This window comes from Homo sapiens, chromosome 1 (assembly GCF_000001405.40).
Source record: "Homo sapiens chromosome 1, GRCh38.p14 Primary Assembly".
Taxonomy (NCBI): domain Eukaryota; kingdom Metazoa; phylum Chordata; class Mammalia; order Primates; family Hominidae; genus Homo; species Homo sapiens.
The window spans coordinates 152703304-152723399 of record NC_000001.11 but is presented as its reverse complement, the minus strand read 5'-3'; the positions used below and the strand labels follow the sequence as shown (position 1 = coordinate 152723399).

Genomic DNA, 20096 nt, shown 5'->3' with positions numbered 1-20096 from the left:
ATAGAACCTTCACACTGGCCAGGTTACTGAGGGTTTCTCAAGCACTGGTATCAGGCTGCTCAGTGTCCTCTGCTCTGTGTAAGAGCAAGGTCACACTGCTGTGTGGTGGGGTCACTGGTAGATGCTCTCAGAACTCACCTGGATGTCTGAAGGACCTAGACCCCAGGGCGGATGCTTCTCTTTACATTGTCTTTTGTACATATCTACCTAACACACAATCAGGGCTCCTGAGAAGGTTTGGGATTATATAAAGCTACTTCTGCTCTAATCCATTTCATATCTCCAAATTCAGTCTCCTAGTTCATGGTAATCAGGGACTTTATTAGTTTTCAATATGACATTAGCTTTCTGGGGTCCAGATGGTGGTTATACACGTGTGTTTAGTGAGTAATACACTTCTAATTTGTATACTTTTCTAGAAGTGTGTTTCATCTAAATAGAAAATTTGAAAACATTTGAAAAAGGCCTTAACAGCAACTTGTATGGTAATAATAAGAGGCAAACAGAGACAGGGAGAAAAAGAGAAGAGAAAAAGAGAAATCAAAAAGGGCAGTCTAAGGGGGTGGTTAGATAAATCGTTGAGCAGCCACACTAAGGAAATATTAAAAACCAAACAACAAAAGGAAAGAAGATATGACTATATGCACTAACCAAAATTTATGTTCAACATTGACGTATTAAATGAAAACAGCTAGTCATAGGGCAACATGTATTATGATCCTATATAATAAAACAGAAAAGTCTAAGATATGCAATCAATTGAGATATATTAATGTGTAGGTTTTTGCTCCTTGACTTTTTCTTCCACTCATATGCTCTATTAAAGAAAATTATATTTTTGCCCTTTGAGCTTTATAATTCTGATACTGAACTAGATGTGTGCTGCCTGTGCACTGTAAGCCACGGCAGCCAACGGATCTCAAATCCACCTTTCCAAGATATGGTTTCAGAGACATTTATGGGATAGAAGAGCAAGGTAGTTCAGGGCCTGGGGAAAGGCAGTTGGAGGCAAGGAACAGTGAGGCAAGTGGCTATTTGCACTTGCATAGTCAAGCTTCATTGCTCTTCATAAGAAGCATGTTCAGAAAATGGTGGTATTAGCATGCTCTGAGGGAGGAGCTTTTGACCCTCTGACATCAAAAGGTCACCTCTCAGGTATTCTTGCAGGCCCAGTTGAAGGGTCGGTGGTTTCAGCTTGAACTAGAAAACAGCCAACACCAAGTTCTTAAAAAAACAACAAGGAACCATCAGCATGGTAACTTATATGTCAGGGATGTTCTCTAAAAGGAAGCTAGCAGATTGCTTAGCTGTGTGACTTTTAGCTACATGGGTTTTAAGATTAACTAGAAGTAAGTGACTAAAAGCAAGCAAGGCAGGTTGAGTTTGGTGAGCTTCGTCAGGTTAGCTCTTGGTTTCAACTACTTTCCTCTCTCTTGTACAAAACCAATAGAGTGGGTTAGAGAAAGCATTAGAACAGCTGGAGAAAAGAGGAGAGGTTTTATTCCTAGGTTAATTCCTATGGAGCAGAGAATACTAAGATTGGGTAAGTATAGAGAAAATTAACAAGGGAGACAGAAAAACTCAAACCATCTACATAACCAGGACCAGAACCAGGTGGGATTGAGGAGGAAAGGAGAGTGAGCAAGGAGAGAAAGAGATGAAAGAAGCCACAATGTCTGGATATTAGGAGCATTTGGGGTAGTTTAGTGAGAGACTGATGAACAGCTATGGAATATGAAGGAATTGAAAAGGATAGAAATAGGATTTTTAGAAGTTTGCATTGGGTTTTAAAGAGGATTCCCTACAATATTTTCAGTGCTGAGTTGGGCTTTGCAGATACCATTCTCTAAAGAGACTAGACCACAGGGAACTTTAGCACCCCATCCTCCAACATTGCAGGACCCAGTTGGTGGTACAAGAGGAAAGTGTGGCCCTGGCCAAGGCAGTTCCTTCCCTGAGTGGGTTTCCAGTGACTGGGCTGTAAGTTTAGGGAGTTTGGATGAAGGGATATTGTGCTGTTTGTGGAGATACAGGTGTTTAGACATTCAAAGGCAGCAGAGTAGTCAAGATGATCTTCTGCTAGTGTCCAGGGTTAGAAACAAACACATGATTCCCTTTTTCATTCATTCCTTTATGCGTTCATTTATACATCACCAAACATTGTCTCCTATGCACCAGACCTTGTGGGATTGTTTTGAACACTTGTTACTCCTCTATTTTTTTAATGTGTGTATTTGGAATCTTTAGTTACAAAAGTCCACCCCAAATTCTCTAGAGCTAGCTAAGCAATGGAGAAGAAAAAGCTAACTAGGGTGAGGGGCCCAGAAGGGGGCCCAGAAGCCCCTCGCACAAGATTCACCTTCCTTTGGAGATGGCTCACTTACTACCAGGACTGACCTGGTGAATACCTACCCACTTCAGGGGGCTCCTAGCCTTTTCCCTCAGGCCTTCAACCTATAGTTTCAACAGGGCAAGCCTGTCAGATGAGAAAATGTAATTCATAAAGTCCTGCATGGGTTCAAGCCCTCTGCACAGTGGTGGAGACATGGTCCAGTGATACTGACCATGACCAGTGATACTGGTCCATGAGCAGATACAATTTCACAATCTCTCCAACACCCAGGAAGATGAGGGTCTCATCATGGTCAACCCTGCTCTGAGGCTCATCAAAGGGCAGCACAGAAACAGCCCCAACCCTCAAATCTCCATTTTCAGATGCTTCTAACTTGCGTGGGAAAGTTTATTCACAGCATTCTAGAAGGCATGGGGCTCCCAGGCTGGGATTTCACCAGCTCAGTCTGCTTGTTCATGTTCGTGCAGATCTTTCCTCTAGCTGAGAAACAAGAGTAAGAAGAGAGGGATGCAGAAGAGTGCCTGATAGAAAAGCATAAATATGGACCAAACAAACAGACAGAAATTACCACGAAATGCATTCAGAGCTTTATTCATGCCAAAGTTTGGGGACTGTACTAACTCTGGCAGGCTGCCTTGGTAGAGAAGCAAAGCACAGAGGCAAAGTGATGAGGTTCTACATCACTGGCACTAACAGAGAGGGGGCCAGAAGCTGGTGCATGTTCCAGAAGGGGTAGCGGGGCAGTGCATTCTGGAGTTGAGCTGTCGTATGTTTAGCAGCAGCAGTCATCCTCATGGTCACAGCATGCAGGACCTCGGGACCTCATGGGGATAATTCCCAAACAGCAGCACCCAGAGCTGCCACATCCACAGCTGCAGCCACAGCCCCCAGAACCACAGCATCCAGAGCTTCCCGAATTCTCACAGCAGCCAGATGATCCTGTGTTGCAGTTCTGGGGCCGCTGAATCCAGCGTCTCAGGGGACTCACCCCGAAGGTCCGGGGAGCCAGACAGCAGTAGCTGGTGGAACAGGGAGCAGAGCATGGGTCAGTGACACAGTACTGGGAGGTTGAGCCACTTGCAGGAGCTTGAACATAATAGCTCTGGCAAGGAGAAGCACCCTGGACATAGCACGTCTGGGTCTGGCAGGGAGCTGGACTTTTGATGTAGGTCATCTGGCAGGGAGCTGGGCACTTCACGTAGGTTTGGCAGGGAGTTGGGCATTTTACATAGGTTGTCTGGCAGGGAGCTGGGCACTTCACATAGGTTTGGCAGGGTGTTGGGTATTTCACATAGGTCCTCTGGCAGGGAGCTGGGCACTTCACGTAGGTTTGAGTCTGGCATGGAACTTGGTACTTCACATAAGTTTGAGTAGGGCATGGAGCAGGGCCTGTCACACAGACAGTTTGGGTCTGGCATGGAACTGGGCATTTCACAGAGGCACCATTGCTACCCTGCCCAGCCCCTAGTCCCGAACCTTTCACACAAGATGGAGGGAACTGTGGCTGCTTCTGCTGGTCACACATTGTTCTGTGGCTTTGCAAAATCTGAAAAGAAAGGTTTCATTAGAACTGTAAAACCAGGAAGGTTTCTAGGGGAAACCTTCAACATCCCCTTTGAATACAGTGATTTGCAAGCAAGGCTTTCTTGAGAAGGTTGCAGACATCCAGAGGCTGTATACTTGGCAGGAGGTGGATTCAGAGCCAGGGACTCTCAGCTCAGCTTCTGTGCCTGTACCTGGCTATGTGGCTTGGTACAAGTCATCGCTTACCTCTGGGCCTCAGTCTCTATATTGGGAAATGGAGGCTTGAAATGGTGCTGCCTGTGTTTCTACCCAACTCTCCAAGCCTCCTCTCCTCTTTCTTCAGTGTCTGCATTGTGAATTACCCTTTGGAAATTGCTGCTCCCAGATGATTGACCCCTGCCACCAGTTCTCTCCAGGGTGACTTCCCTTCTTCCTTCTGCCCAGACAAGGAATACCCAGCAAAGACAAATTTATGTCCATGGACCCTGAGCCAACATGAGCCTCAAGCTGTGCCCGGTACTGAGCAAAGAACAAGGCTAAATTTGAGCAGGTTTCTACCAGGTGCTCCTTGAACCAGCTGGACTAATCAGTTGGCCTCATTAGCACATAGACCCAAGAGAGGACTGCACAATTGCATTCAGATAAGGGGATGGGGAGCCAGTTCTCTAAAGTCCCTTCTTAAACAGGAATGCCAGCTCATCGTGTCCCCCTCCCTCTCCTCTCATGCCCCAGGCTCCAAGTTTCCCACCAGCATTGCTTTCAGCCTCCTTCAGCAGATTTCCTAAGCATCTAGTCCTCGCTCACCCTTCATCCCACAGCTCTCATCCCACCCCAGCTTCCCCAAAGCTCTGTTTCTCACCATGTCCTTATCCCGTATAGAGACTTACCCTCTTTGCTGATAGGAGCAAGACTGGAAGAAGTCAGTGATCTGAAAAACTAGCAGGTGGGGAGACCTTTTATAGGGCAGCAATGAGGCAATTTAATGGCATCTAAATGAAGCACCAGAGATCACAAGGAGAAGGGATGGTGTTGCATTGGCAAGATTCCTCCCCAGTATGCCTGGCTCCTCAGTCAGAGGCAGGGCATGTCTGTGCTTGACATTGGGTTTTCCCAAACACTAGATAAATGATTCCTGTTCCCTTCCTCAGGAAACAAGTCAGTCTCCTTTTCCTATAAGTTATGAGTGATGCCTATGTGATCTGTCTCTAATGAAGCTGTTTCCAGGTCACTTGAGTCTTCAGGACTTATCCAAGTTATAGTTAGATTCTCAATTTTTCATACACTGTGCCAAAAGCTAAGTGTAGCTCAGAGAATCAAACTAAAATTGAGAATCTAATCTAAAGCTAAGTGTAGCTTTTGGCACAGTGTATGAAAAATTGAGAATTTAACTATAGATTCACCTCACTTCACTCAGCCTAAATGAGTGTTCTGTGGGCTTCCAAGGTAACTTCTGCTGGTCTAGGTTGCTGAGCACAGTTTGGCCCAGTGGTCTCTGGCCCAATATGACACAAGACCTCCAAAAAATGGTTTGTTTCATGGAACATCAGGTTATTCTAGGTTCATTTGGAAACTGGGTGGGTGCTTAATGATCCTAGGCCCCAGGCTGGAGTCTAGACTGCCTCCCCTCAGCCTTCTCATGCCCCTTAGGCTCCCCCATTCTTACCTTTCAGGACCTCACTACCAGGCTTCAATTCCAAAGAACGCTGAGCAGGGAAAATTCCAGCCAGATGAGCACTGTGTGATAACAACAACAACAATAATAATAGAATCTAAAGTTTATTTGAATACTTTATATATAACAATTCATGAGGCAGTACATTTACAAATGGACACAACTGAGGCCCTGAAAGTTTAAGGGAGTTACCCTCATCACAAAGCAGGTAAGTAAGGAAGCTAGGCCTCAGATGCAGGAGTCTGCTTTCATAGATCATGATCTTTATTACTACAATATGTTGCCTTTTATTTCTGAACATGGCATTGTCCTTGAATCCCTGCCTGTTTTCTTTTCCACAATGCAGAAGATGTAGAAAGAGAGGTGGGAATATTATCTACTGAGCACTTACTATGTGGTGGATACTGTCCTAGGCTCTTTGCCTGTGTTATTTCATTTGATTTTGAAATAACTCTATGAGACAGGCTTCATTAGCCCCAATTTTACACAAGAGAAAACTGAGACCCAGAGGTCCACTTTTCCAAGGTCATCCCATCAGTAGGTAATGGAGTGACATTGCAACCCAAGCCTATCCAGCTCCAGAGCCCATGCTACCCCCACTGAGCTATATTGGGTCGCCCACTGAAGAAAGTTGTCTTGAGCCTAAGCCTAGCACTGGTCCAAATGTCAATTCCTTAGATAAACCAGTGCAGGCTCCACCGTGGCCCCTACGGCCTCTCAGGTAAATTGTTCTACTGTATTTGTACATAATAGATCCCCACATTTCCCAGGACCCATAAGCTTTAAGGCTTCTACATTTCCTAAACAAAGAGGATGCAAAGACCCACTAATTCACAGCCCCTCTCCCATGTCAAGCCAGGTCCTGCGAAGTCTTCCCCTGAATACTTTAAATATCTCCCCAACCCCACCTACCAGCCACCCCAATCTCTCGTAACCAGCACTCTGCTCTCTATTTCCATGAGATCAACATTTCTAGATTCCACATATAAATTAGATCATGCAGTATGTCTATCTATGCCTGGCTTATTTTGCTTAGCATAATATCTTCCCGGTTCATTCACCTTCTCACAAATGACAGGATTTCCTTCTTTTTGTGACTGAATAGTATTCTTTGTGTATATATAGCATTTTTAAACATCCATTTATCCTTTGATTTACACTTAGGTTGATTCCTTTTATTGCCTATTGTGAATAGTGCTGCAATAAATGTGGGAATGCAGATATCTCTTCAATATTACTGACTTCAATATCTTTGGATATATACCTACTAGTGTGATTGATGGATTATATGCCAGTTCTATTTTTAATTTTTGAAGACCCTCCATACTGTTTTCCACATGGTTGTACTAAATTGCATTCCCACCAATGGTGTGTTAGATTTTATTTTCTCCACATCCTTGGCAACATGTTATCTTTTATCTTCCTAATTTCACTTAACATAATGACCTCCAGTTCCATCCATGTTGCTGGAAATGACAGGATTTCATTCCTTTTTATGGCTGGATAGTATTCCATTCTGTGTTCATACTCCATTTTCTTTATTCATTTATTCACTGATGGACACTTAGGTTGATTCTGTGTCTTTGCTATTTATTGTAAATAGCACTGCAATAAACATGGGAATACAGTTATCCCTTTGATATACTAATTTTCTTTCATTTGGACAAATACCTAGTAGTTAGATTGCTGGATAATGTGATAGTTCCATTTGCAGTTTCTTGAGACACCTCTATACTGTTTCTCATAATGGCTGCACTAACTTACATTCTCGCCAATGGTGTATAAGTTCCCTTTTCTCTACATCTTTGTCATTATTTTCATTTGTTTGTTTTTTGATAATAGCCATTATTACAGGAGTGAGGTGTTATTTCATTGTGGTTTTGATTTGCATTTCCCTGGTGATTAGTGATATTGAGCATTTTTTTCTAGACATGTTGGCCATTTGTACGTCTTCTTTTGAGAAATGTATATTCAGATTCTCTGCCCATTTTTAATTGGGATATTTGTGTTCTTTCTATTGGGTTGTTTGAGTTCCTTATATATTTTGGATATTAACTCCTTATCAGATGTATAGTTTGCAAATGTTTTCTGATTTTGTAGGTTGTCTCTTTACTCTGTTGCTTATTTCCTTTTCTGTACAGAAGCATTTTAACTTGATTTAATCTTATTTGTCAGTTTCTGCTTTTGTTGTCTATGTTTTTGAGGTCATATTCAAAAAATCCTTGCCCAGACCAATGTCATGGAGCTTTTCCCCTGTTTTTTTCCTAGTAGTTTCATAGTTTTGAATCTTAAATTTACATTTTGAATTCATTTTTCAGTTGATGTTTGTATACAGTGTGAGATAAGCATCTTATTTCATTCTTCTTCATGAGGATACCCAGTTTTTTCAGTACCACATATTCAAGAGACTTTCCTTTCCCTATTGTGTGTTCTTGGCACCTTTGTCAAAGATCAGTTGATAGCAAATATATGGATTAATTTCTGGGTTCCCTATTCTGTTCCATTGGTCTATGTGTCTGTTTTTATGCCAGTACCATGCTGTTTCAGTTACTATAGCTTTGTAGTATATTTTAAAGTCAGGTAGTGTGATGCCTGTCTGCTCTTGAACATTTTGGAAGAAGCAAGATGGGAGACTCTGCCTCAGGCTTGGTGTCCTGGCTTGGAGTCCTCAGGCATGGTGTCCTGCTTCCTCCTGCCATTCCTGCCTCTGAAGGGCTTGTCTTACTGCACAGCTTCCACCATGAAGCTCACCAGTCATTCCCTCTCCCCAAAGGGAGGGGTAAATGAGGAGGGATGTGGTTCCAGGCCATTCCACTTCTGCTCTCCTAAGTGTCCCTCCTCAGTGCATACCCAGACCTGATGTTTTATGAAGTAAAAGGAAAAGGAACCATCTCTTTTTGGGGTTAGACACCACACGGGGTAGCTCATCAAATTTGGTTCTCACGATAGTGTTCCAAACAAAAAATAACTTGTCCAAGCTCACACAGTTAGAAGTGATAGAGCCAGAATTTGAACCCAGGTAAAAGAGTCTTCAAATTTTGTTTTTCTACCAAAGCATGCTGCTTCTGGTGTTACAATCCATGATGCTTCAGGAACCATACCTTTCAGTCACCCAACCTATAAGCAGTCATTAAGAAGCCTTCTGCATTATATGTAGGATGGGATATCCCCATTTTACAGAGAAGAAAATGCCCTAGGAGACCAGCCATTTTAAGATGTGCCAACAAAACTGGAGACAGACATTTCAAGGCACAAATAGAAAGACCTGGACCCTTATCCTAATTGTGCCACCACCCCACCCTGTGATTCCACAGTGCCCTGGTGTCTCTAGGCCTTTTCTCTTCCAATCTAAAGCAAAGAGGCTAGATGAGACCCCTTCTGGCTATGATATTCTGTGGTTGTAGGAGCCTGTTCTACAAGGGAAATGTATACTTCCACAACCTAGCCTTCCATGGAGTTATTCCCACGAGACTATGATTTTCAAGAATTGTTAACTGTGGACATATTCACCATATATCATCATAGGACCTGGGAAACATTGACTAAACAAATGCATGAGTGAATGAATGAATGGGGGTGCTTTACATTGACAGCACAGCCCAGACTGACCTCCTTCCTCCATGTGGTCAGTGCTGTTCTGTCTTTAGCCAATCTGTGCATCTCATGCCATCTGTGAGCTCTGATTGGCTCACTTCCTGCTGTATGGAGTCAAGCTCTAACTAATGGGTTTGACATCTGCAAGCAGTACTAGCATACCTGGTGAGAGACACCTTATCTATGTGCCACCAAAACAGGTGGGTGGGTTGTGCCCCACCCACTGTATAGGCTGGGAAGGCAAGGCATGGAGAAGTCAGATAACTGGTGCAAGTGCCAGGATGACTCACAGGGTTATCCCAAAAATCTGCTCCCAGAAACTCCCTTACATTTATCTCTTTGGATGCAAGCTGATAGAATCAGAGACTTGTGGATTCATGGAAAACTAGTCCAGAGAAGTAGGCGGAGAGAATTATCTCCAAGGCAGAAAGTACTAAAATAGGTCATGGGGTCTGGCCCCTGCCAGAATGCAATTGAATACCTGTGTCATACAGCCTAATAGGCTGCTATTCCTAGAAAGATCTGCTAATCTTTAAAAGTTCTCTGTAAGGTAGGTACAGTGGCTCGTGTAATTCTAGTTACTCCAGAGGCTGAGGCAAGAAGATTGCTTGAGCCCATGAGTTCAAGGCTGCGGTGAGCTATGATCATGCCACTGCACCGGAGACCCTGTCTCTAGAAAATAAAATAAAATAAAATAATACAAGTCCTCTGTAGTGCCCCTGGTTAGCTTGTTTTGGGATTTACCATCAGGATAGTCAGGAACTGTATACTAGATTATCTCTCAGATCCCTTACAGCACCAACATCCATGAATCCTAACATTCACTATACATTTGAAGCTTGGCCCCTTAGTGTGGGAACCAGACTCAGATTTTAACCCAGATCAGGGGATTAAATAGGGAGGTGCCCAAAAAGACATGTTGCTCTCCGACATCATGTTCTGGGTCTCCTCTCATCCTAGGAACTTTTCCTGATCAGGGACTGGGGACAATCTAAAGGCCAAATCTGGGTCCCTTCCCTTCTGGGGACAAGAAGTAGGAAGAAATGAGAAGCCACACACTGAAGAGAGGGAGGGCACAGGAATGTTGGTACGCGGTGAGAAATCTCTCTACTGTGTCTGAGATCAGTGATCTCCACTCTTAGATTTTATGTCTATGTATGTCTGTTTCAGGCCTAGCCCCAAGGCTTGCACCAGAGATCCCCTGCGATATTCCTGTGATAATTGGGGGTTCCTCCTAGACTATCAGGAGATTCTGTTGTAGAACCACAGAATGAAGGACAGAGGGCAGCCCCTATATTGTAACTGAGGCCCACAGAGAAGGGAAGAAACTTGTTTGAGGTCACACAGCCAGGCAGGAGCTGACTCTAGACAGGAATTTCTCAATCTGATCTAGGACATGTTCTGTAACCACACGTGAACACTAAGCTGGCTTGCTAGGGAGTTCCCTCACCTGTCTCCCTCCTTACCTCCATTCCCACTCACCACTTCCACCCAGACTACCACAAGAAAAGCCAAGGAACATCTTGTAAAGGACATCCTCTATGGAGCAGAGAGGGTTTTCACATATGGAGGGGAAAAGTCATATAAGACTCCCACTGTGTGCACATATGTGGGTCATCCAAACATGAGAATGCAAGCCCCACCTAGCTCAGAGTCACATGGGCTGTTTGTGCTGGGGACACGGCAAGACAGCACTGAAGCCCTCTTGATCACAGAGGTCAGTGAATATCAATGTCCAGATACTTCTCTTTCTCCTGGAATGGCCCACTAGTGCTGGTTTCCTGGAACGCCCACCACCCTTTCCCTAACCCATTTATTCCCTTATAACATATACTGGGTAACTAGTCCCTCAGATTTACTTACAGCGTTGTAGAACTGTTTCATTGCATTTGATCTTACAACCCCCTCCCAGATTTTCAATGGAAGTTGTCTCTCCATCTTTTCATTTCAAGATGTAAAGGGATACAGAAAACTTTTACAGATAGAACCCACTGGATTATGTCCCCTCTTCGACCCCTCTTAACTATTTTATCCATCCTCTCTGTGCAAATGGCCTGTTCTGACCTTTATTCCAACCTCTTCAAGACCTTCACCCAAAGAGCCAGCTGAACTTTTCACATCTCCTTTCAGACAGTCCCAGTCCTAGTCATAGCTCTGCCAATTCCTAGATGTGTGACCTTAGATAATTAGCTATACATTCTGAAGCTGTTTTCTCATCTATAAAAATGAAGACATTAATAGTCAGAGCATGTCATTCCTCTGCTCAGAAATATTCAAATGACTTCTCATTCTGCTCATGGTAAAAGCCAAAGTCCTTACAAAGGTTTTCAAAAGGGATGCACAGACTGGACCCTACACTCTGTACTTCACTGATCTCATGTCCTATCCTCTCCCCTCACTCTGACCCTACACCAGTCTGCTTGCAGTTTGTCTGATGCTCAGGCACACTCCCACTGCAGGCCCTTTGCTGTTGCTTTTTCTCTACCCACAGTGTTTCCCCAGATGCCCACGTGGCTGACTTTCTCACTCTAGTCTTTGCTCAAATGTGGCTCTTGTGAAGGCTTCACTGGTGACCTCATTTAGCATTATAATCCATACCTACTTGCCCTCCCTGTCCCTCTTCCAAGCTTATTTCTCTCCTTAGAGTTTATCCTCATCTAATACTTATATATTTTATGTATGCATGTATTTTTCATTTTGTCCCATCAGAATGTGAACCCTATTGGCTGAGAACTTTCATTGCTTTTGTTCACTGCTCTGTCCACAGTGCCTTACTATACATAGTGCTTGGTGCACTCAAAACATATTTGTCGGTTGCGTGAATAATACATATTTTTCTTATTCATTTTGTTTGTCACCTGCTTTCTTTTCTTAGAATAAGTTTAATGGGGAAGAAATTTTTGGCTGTTTTGTTCACAAGTCTATTCTTAAAACTGCACTTGATACATAGTAGGCACTTAATAAATATCTTTAGAATAAACAGTCCAAGCAAATGTTGATGTGAGATAAAGCTTATGCCTAACATGAGTAAATGCTAACTGAATGTTTGTTAGTTTTGCTGGTATTGCTATTTCTTATCCCCCATCAACCATATGTAGTCATTACAGTTGCATTTGGTTCTGAACAGCGACCAGAGCAGGGGAACAGGGTGAGGAACAGGGCTCTTCCTTCACTTCAGATGGGCTATGTCCCAGAAAGCCTGTGACCTGCCACACCAGCCCCTGACTTCCAAAGCCACCAGCCTCCACCCTTTCCCCCATCCTAATACATCATTCTGGGGACTAGTGGACCAGAATTTCAAAGAGTGATCTTGGAGCTGTCACACGTGGGTGCTCTCTGTGACAGTACAGCAAGGATGACAGTTTTGTTTCCAGTGCTCTCCTGAGCCAGCACAGCCATTTGGCAAGTCCTACGTCCTGCCCCAAATTCTTCCAGATCTCTGGGTAATCCCTAAGTACCACTTTTACTTATTCAGCCCCTCCAAGACTTTTCTAACAAATTCCCTGCATTAAATCTTTCTGTGTTTAAACTAGCTAGAATGTGGCTAGAATGGTCTCTGTTTTCATGACCAGACACTGACATCCTGAAGCACATACATTATATACATTACATATAATAAATAGTTTATAGTATAATCTTCTTCAGGGATAAGGTGAGAGGCATTTAACAATCAAAGGGAAATAAATATGTAATTTCAATTAGTAGTAAGTGCAAGAACAACAGCAGGAACAACAACAAACCAAGTTTATTTCAACAGCAGTCTGCAAAGGCCCAAGGGTGCATGCTAGTGCCCACCTCAGTCTGCACTTTCTCCCAATGAAATTGTTTGAACTTCCTGCATGACCACAAGGCTAAGACAGGTCTGCAACTTGTGACCTACCATTACCAATGTGTCTGCCTCAGAGAAAGTCCTAAGTCAGCAGAGCTCTGTAACAAGAGGCTCCTTACCTTTGGGACACAGTGGAGAGGACAAGGGAAATAGTACTTCATTGAATTCCAATTCTGACTTTTGGATACTGTAAATAGGCTTCTTAAAGAAAGAAACCTGGGTTTCAATAGAACTTTATTTAACCAGACTCTTGCATGTGCACAACACAATTAATAAGAACAGCTACAAAAATTATTACACTTTTCTACATGGTTCCCAAGTGGATGTGATGCTATTCTGCTTTCTTAATATTAATCCTTTAAACACACACACACACACACACACACACACACACACACACACACACACACACAGAGAGAGAGAGACAGAGAGAAAGAGAATATTGCTTTAGAAAATGTATGGAGCAGTAAGTACATTTTTTTAACTTAAGTAAATTAGATTTTTCTGTCCAAACAACTTTACTGACTTGGCTATTTCACCACTAATTTTTTTTTAAATTTAAGTTAGGTTTATCTTGGAATTCTAATCAATCCTTATTTATTGTTTTCACAAATACTGCAGAATTTTAGATTTTCGTGAAGGTATGTGTACACAAATAAGTAATTCATTAAAGTTTAATTGGTTGATTTTTCTCTATTTCAGTAAAAGCTATAAATCTATCTTTCTATCTAGGAAAAGGATTGGGATTTAGGTAAAAGTGAAGAAAAGTGGAATAAAAACCACCATCAAACTGGGACTAGAAAATTACTTGAAAGTAAATTTACTGTTGCAAAGCACATCAGAAAATTTTTCAATAATCTGAGAAATATAAATATTGACATAAAGCTAAAATAATGCAAATCCAAGGCCTGAAGTTGATGAGACGCAAACCTGCATGTTTATTCAATTGATGGGGCTACAGAAAGGAAAGGCAAGAGAGTGAAGGAGGTAAAACACCAGGCTGCAATGGGTCCTTCGCCCACTAATTCCTTTGGTGCTGCTCCTGGTCCAGGTCAGCAACAGCCCCCTCCAGAGCAGCAGCCAGAACCCCCAGACTGCTGGCCACTGCCACTGCCATAGCAATTGGAGCTCTTGGGTCTGTGGCAGTGGGACCTATGGTGTCTGTGGTGGCTCAGGCAGCAGCCACCTCCCTCAGAGCTGCAGCAACCACAGCCCCCAGAGCTGGAGCCACAGCAGGAAGAGATTGGAGGTGGGCATGAGGATGCACACTTTGAGGGACATTTTGGGGGATACTTGGGGATAGGACACTTGGGAGGGGGCTGGCACTGCTGTTGGTTCTGCTGGCAGGACATCTTGGTGGGATTTCGATAAACCTGAATGACAAAATAGAAACATATACAGAAACTTAATATCAAGAGCCATTACATTTTTTTTTATTTTAAAATCCTCCCCCAAGGTGATGAAGAGGAATATCTAAAATATGGACATGTATAGAAACCTCTTTCAGACAAAGAGTATATCTTCATTACTTTTGTACCCCTAGAGCTTTCAAAAATTCTTAGTATTTGTTAGGTGGTTAATAAGTGACTTCTGAGCTAATAAAGCCAGCAAAATTTGAATGCCATCTCAAAGACATGTTAAATACATTGCAATTCTACCCACATGAATTTATCTAGAAATGGAATTCAGAAATTCGTAGAAAATCTGTTTAATAAATAATAATAAATTTGAGATCTGCACGGTTAGAGAAAAGCTTCCTTCAGAGCAATGGGCTTAGGACCAGCAGGCCAACCATTGGTAGGGATGTAGCAATCCCAGGTCATTCATCATCTTCCTGTCTGATCACAGGGATAATCCTTCCCAGGTTGGTTCCTGCTTTGTCCAGAGCCAACTACTACTTCTGGCCTTCTGGCCTTGTCCACCATGTCATCCTCCTCCTACTCCACGCTTCACTGTTCGACTTCCAGAATTACTCTCCATCTCCATCTTCATCCCGCTAGCGTCCCCCTCTGGATTCCTATAGAAACACTCACCGTGGGTTCAGACGCAGCAACAGATACGTCCCTTAGGAAGCAGAGCAGATGAGAAGCCAGCAGCAGGAACACACTTTGTATGGATCCTGGGGCTGGGCCTCGGATGAGCCATGCTAATGGCAGGAGCAGGACGTGGCTGTTGCACAAGTGTGGGGTCATGCCTGACATTCTCCTGCCTCCTGGTTTCATCTCTTCCTGAGCTGGATGATGAGCTTCCCAGATAGCCTCTTCGGCACTAGTGGGAGAGGGGGTGACTATATGAGACTTTCTGTAAATCAGACCCTTTTCCCAGGCTAAGGTCTCAATGTACAGCAAACAGAGGGGTTTAAGGCTATGGGTACTTACCTTTCAAGCCTCCCTCTGAACACGCTTTGCTCAGTCCCTCAGGAAGAACTTTGGCACCAAAGGCTCCAAGACTGCCCCACATTTAGCCCCTAACATATTCCAGCCAAATTTCAGCCAGAGGCTCTGGGCCTTTCCCAGGTCAGTCAATCCTGAGAGGCTGGTTTGGTGCCATAGGCCTCCTTACTCTTTTAGAGAGTATCTCCCATGCTTTTAGACCAGGCCAAGTCCCCAGTCCTAACTGTGGAGAGAGATGCCCCTCGGTCAGCCACTCTTCTCTTTAGAATTTCTCTTCTATGAACCCTTCAGCCTGGAATTCAAAGGCTATCATATTTGACTACTTCTATTTGGGTTACCAAGGAATGTGTCACCATCAAGGGGCCTTTTGAGTAGGAGTTTCTGAGTTTTTCTGTTGTGTGTTGTGTATGTGATTCTGCTGCATTTAAGTAGCTCATGAGCACAGATCAGAGACTTGAGACTTTTACCAATTCAGGAACCTTTTGTGGAAGTATCTGTCTGTCAACTACACACACACACACACACACAAGTTGCATTTATTGCAACCATTTTTTAAAAAAAGGACTGATTTTTTTTCTTCAACAAACATATAAGAAGATCATTATGAGGAAAATATTTTTCCCATCATAGAAAAAACTCTTCCCTTTTACCCATCAAAACACTCTAAACCAACAAGAAAAAGAAATTTGGTGTGTGTTGCTCTAATTCTCAAAAGGTTTATATAGGATACAACTCTTCATGCAACCCATTAAGATTGATTTATTTCTCCTTATGTATATCATATATGTTATACGTATATACACATATAATCACGAGGTACTTCTGGAAATACCTACTATGCAAAATAGATGTCTAACAATGACAAAAGTTAGCTGATATTAATGAACATGAAGACATTGATAATGATGACAAGGAAGATGACTAAACCCCCAGCCTATATTTCCTCTCTGTAAAGACAGAAATTACCTACTTTTATAGTAATTTCTGCTATTACTAACTCAGAAAATGAGTATTAGACAGCAGGAACGGAATTGTTGTGGAAGGCAGATTTTCTGGCAAGTATTATTGTAGGAATGTCCTCCCATTTTCCATCTCTCTCCCAATCCAGTGCCCCATGTTAATGGTGTTTCTGGCAAGCAAATCATCAGCTATAGAGGGATGTGGTAACAAGCAACAACCTACCACATTGAGCTCTTAATCTGTGACCAGCACTGCCTCAGTTATGTGAGAAATACAATGAATTAACCTTGTTCCTGTCCTCAGGACCTCAGAGTAGAACTGGAGAGAGAAACAGAAACACCTGAGAAGTTAGATAGTGATGCTGAACCTCAACACAAGAGAAACACGGTGTGATTAAAGGAAAATTTCAGGGTTGACACCAGTGGTCCTAGTAGGCAGTCCTAAAACAAAAGATGCCAGGACTCAACTGTAGACAAATTAATTCAGAATTTCTGGGAATAGGGCCCCAGCATTGGTGTTTTTTAAAAGGTCACAAGTTGAATGTGTTGCACAAACAGAGATGAAAGCTATTGGTGTAGCCCTACTCTGCACAATACAGTAGCCACTAACCACATGAGATGATAAAGCCCTTGAAATATAACTTGTCTGAATTGAGATGTGCCATAGCATGACACTGAGTTTGAAGACATAAAATTGTTTTAAATGTAAAATATCTCACTAATATTTTAGATTGATTACGTGCTGAAATGCAAAATTATGGATATACTAGCCTAAATAAAATATAGTATTAAAATTATTTTTACCTAAAAGACCTATAAATCAAAGAGGAAGTCATAAGAAAAACTAGAAAATAGTTTTATTTGAATAAAAATGAAAACACAGACCATCAAAGCTTGTGGGATGCAGCTAAAGCAGTGCTTCCATCACACTTAGAACAAAATCCATATCTTTACTGTGGTGTACAAGGCCCCATCCAATCCTACTTGCATACTTGGACATTATTGCCTAATTCACTTTATCTCAACCACTAGGCTCTGGCAGCTCTGCCCCACTTGCTAATCTTCTAATATACCGAGCGTACTTGTTACTCACAGCCTTTACACTTATTCTTCCAGCTACCTGGAAGAATTCTCTTTATCTAAATAGTAAATTCGTCCACTCTCTCATTTCACTGAGCCCTCTGCTTAAATGCCACCTCTCAACCCACCTTGACTACAATAGAAAACAAAACATAAACACCATTATTCTCCATCTCTACTCTGCTTATTTACTTCATACCTGTCAACACATTGCAATTTATCTATTTGTAGTCGTCCTTTTCAAATAGAATGAAGGCTCCATGAAAGCTGAGATTTAATCAGTTTTGGTCATTGCTCCACTCTCTTAATATGTTAATATAAAGAAATAGATTTTCTAATGATAAATCTTACATTCTTAGCTTAATCAGTAATTGGACAAAATATATTTTTTCATACTGCTGATCTAATTACTTAGCATTAGTTTGTGACTTTCATGTATTTGTTTATAATTAATGTTGGTTTATCATTCTTTTGAGAAATTCGAGTTTAGATGTGGTATAAATGTTGTATCTTCCAATCATTTATATGATTTGTAAGATTTTGTAAAGATAATTGATATGGTTTGGATATTTTTCCCCTCCAAATCTCATGTTGAAATGTGACTCCAAATGTTGGAAGTGGGGACTGGTGGGAGGTGATGGGTTATGGGGTCAGATCCCTCATGAATGGTGCTCTCTGCAAGGTAATGAGTGGTAATGAGATCTGGTTCATGGGATATCTGTTTTTTTAAAGAGTATGACAACCGTTGCCCACCTTACTCCCTTCTCTCATCATGTGATATGCCAGCTTCCCCTTTGCCTTCCACCATGAGTGGGAGCTTTCTGAGACTTCACCAGGAGCAGATGCCAGCACCATGCTTCTTATGCAGCCTGCAAAACCATGAGCCAAATAAACCTCTTTTCTCTATAAATTACCCAGCCTCAGGTATTCCTTTATATCAATGCAGAACAGGCTAACACAATGATAATTATTTGTTCATTGAGTTGGTATTAAAACTCTTAATTCCTCTTAGTTTGAAAATTACTAAGGAATAGCTTTTTAATTCTCTATTAATACAAAATGGAAATCAATAAAGAAAGAAAACAAAACAAATCTCTAAACATATGGAAATTAAATAATATACTCCTAGTCTATGAGTTAAAGAGGAAGTCTCAAAGAAAATTCTTAAAAATACTTAGAAATGAACAAAAACAAATATATAATATATAAATATGTGATTATTTATGGACTGAATGTGTCCCTCACAAAAAAAGCTCACATATTGAAATTCTAGTTCCCAATGTGATGTTATTAAGAGGGGGACCTTTGGGAGGTGATTAGATTATGAGGGTGGAGCCTTCATGAATGGGATTAGTGCCCTTATAAGAAGAAGCAGGAGAGAATTCTTCCCTGGCCATGTGAATATGCAATGAGAAGGTGGATATCTGCAAGCTGGAAGAAGTGCCCTCACCAGACACTGGATCTGCTATCACTTTGATTATGAACTTCCTAGCCTCCAGCACTGTAAGAAATAAATGTTTGTTGTTTAAGCCGCCCAGTCTATGATCCTTTGCTATTGTAACCAAAACTAAGACAGAGAAACAGCCAAAGCAGTGTTAAGAGGGAAATTTTTAGCCCTAAGTGTTCACTAGAAACAAATAAATTCCACAAAACAATAATCTAAGTCTCTGGCTCAAGATACAAGAAGAAGAGCAAAATACACCTGAAACAGGTAGAAGAAAAAGTAAAGATGAAACAAAAATCAGCCTCATTTTAAACTAGAAAATAAAAAAAGAAATTAATGCAATAAGGCTCATTAACCAAAAATAAAATTTATGAACCTCTAGGAAGGTTCATAAAAATAAAAAGAGAGAAGACAAAAATCACCAATACCAGGAATAAAAAGTTCAGTATCACTACAGATCCTGCAGCCATTAAAAAGTTAAGAGAATGCTACAAACACTTCTCTGCTCATAAATGCGACAGCTTAGAAAAAATGAGCCAATTTCTCTAAAACCACAAACTACCAAAACTTAGCTAAGATGAAATAAGTCATCTAGATAGTCCCACAGCCATTCAAGAAATTGAATTTATTACTTAAAAGCTCTTGAAAAAATGTGTAAGCCCAGATGGATTCACTGGGGAATTCTACCAAACATATTTAAAAATTAACATTTCTTTTCCACACTTTCTTTCAGAAATTTCCACAATTTCTTTCAGAAAATAGAAGTAGGCAGAACATTCTCAACTCATTTAATGAGGCCCATGATTTCTCTGATATTATAATCAGATAAATACAGTCCAAAACTAAAGAAAACTACAGTATGCCTTATAAACTTAGACACTAAAATCTTCAACAAAATACCAGCAAATCTAGTCCAACAATACGTAAAAATAATTATACATAATGATCAACTGGGATTTATTTCAGGTATGCAAAACAGGATCAACGTTTGAAAATTTATGAAATCCATTATATCAACAAGCTAAAACAGAAAAATCACGCAATCATATTAATTGGTGCAGTTAAACACTTGATAAAATTCATTACTCATTCATAGTACAATCTCTTAGCAAGTTAAAAATAGAGGGGAATTAGCTCCAATCAATAAAGACTATCTACAAAAATTCTACAGCTAACATCATACTTAAATGTGAAAAACAATGCTTTCTCTCAAGATTGAAAACAAGGCAAAAATGTCAGGTGTTCACT

The 20096-nt window shown here is 41.5% G+C and overlaps 2 protein-coding genes across 3 annotated transcripts; both read right to left on the bottom strand.

The window, feature by feature from the left end:
• Positions 1 to 2929: 2929 nt before the first annotated feature.
• Positions 2930 to 3878, bottom strand: KPLCE (KPRP N-terminal and LCE C-terminal like protein). Its single transcript, NM_001024679.3, has one exon. The coding sequence runs from the start codon at positions 3876 to 3878 to the stop codon at positions 3126 to 3128; it is 753 nt and encodes a 250-aa protein (NP_001019850.1). The 3' UTR covers positions 2930 to 3125.
• Positions 3879 to 13965: 10087 nt separating this feature from the next.
• On the bottom strand, positions 13966 to 15240 carry LCE4A (late cornified envelope 4A). 2 transcript variants are annotated; one of them, NM_001387222.1, is made up of 2 exons: positions 15006 to 15240; positions 13966 to 14345 (listed from the first exon to the last, which is right to left on the bottom strand). In NM_001387222.1, exon 2 carries the CDS (start codon positions 14322 to 14324, stop codon positions 14025 to 14027), a length of 300 nt encoding a protein of 99 aa, NP_001374151.1. In that variant the 5' UTR covers positions 14325 to 14345; positions 15006 to 15240; the 3' UTR covers positions 13966 to 14024. The 2 variants fall into 2 exon arrangements, with proteins under 2 accessions (NP_001374151.1, NP_848133.1); NM_178356.3 differs by lacking the exon at positions 15006 to 15240 and having other exon boundaries at positions 13966 to 14353.
• Between the last annotated feature and the right edge of the window lie 4856 nt (positions 15241 to 20096).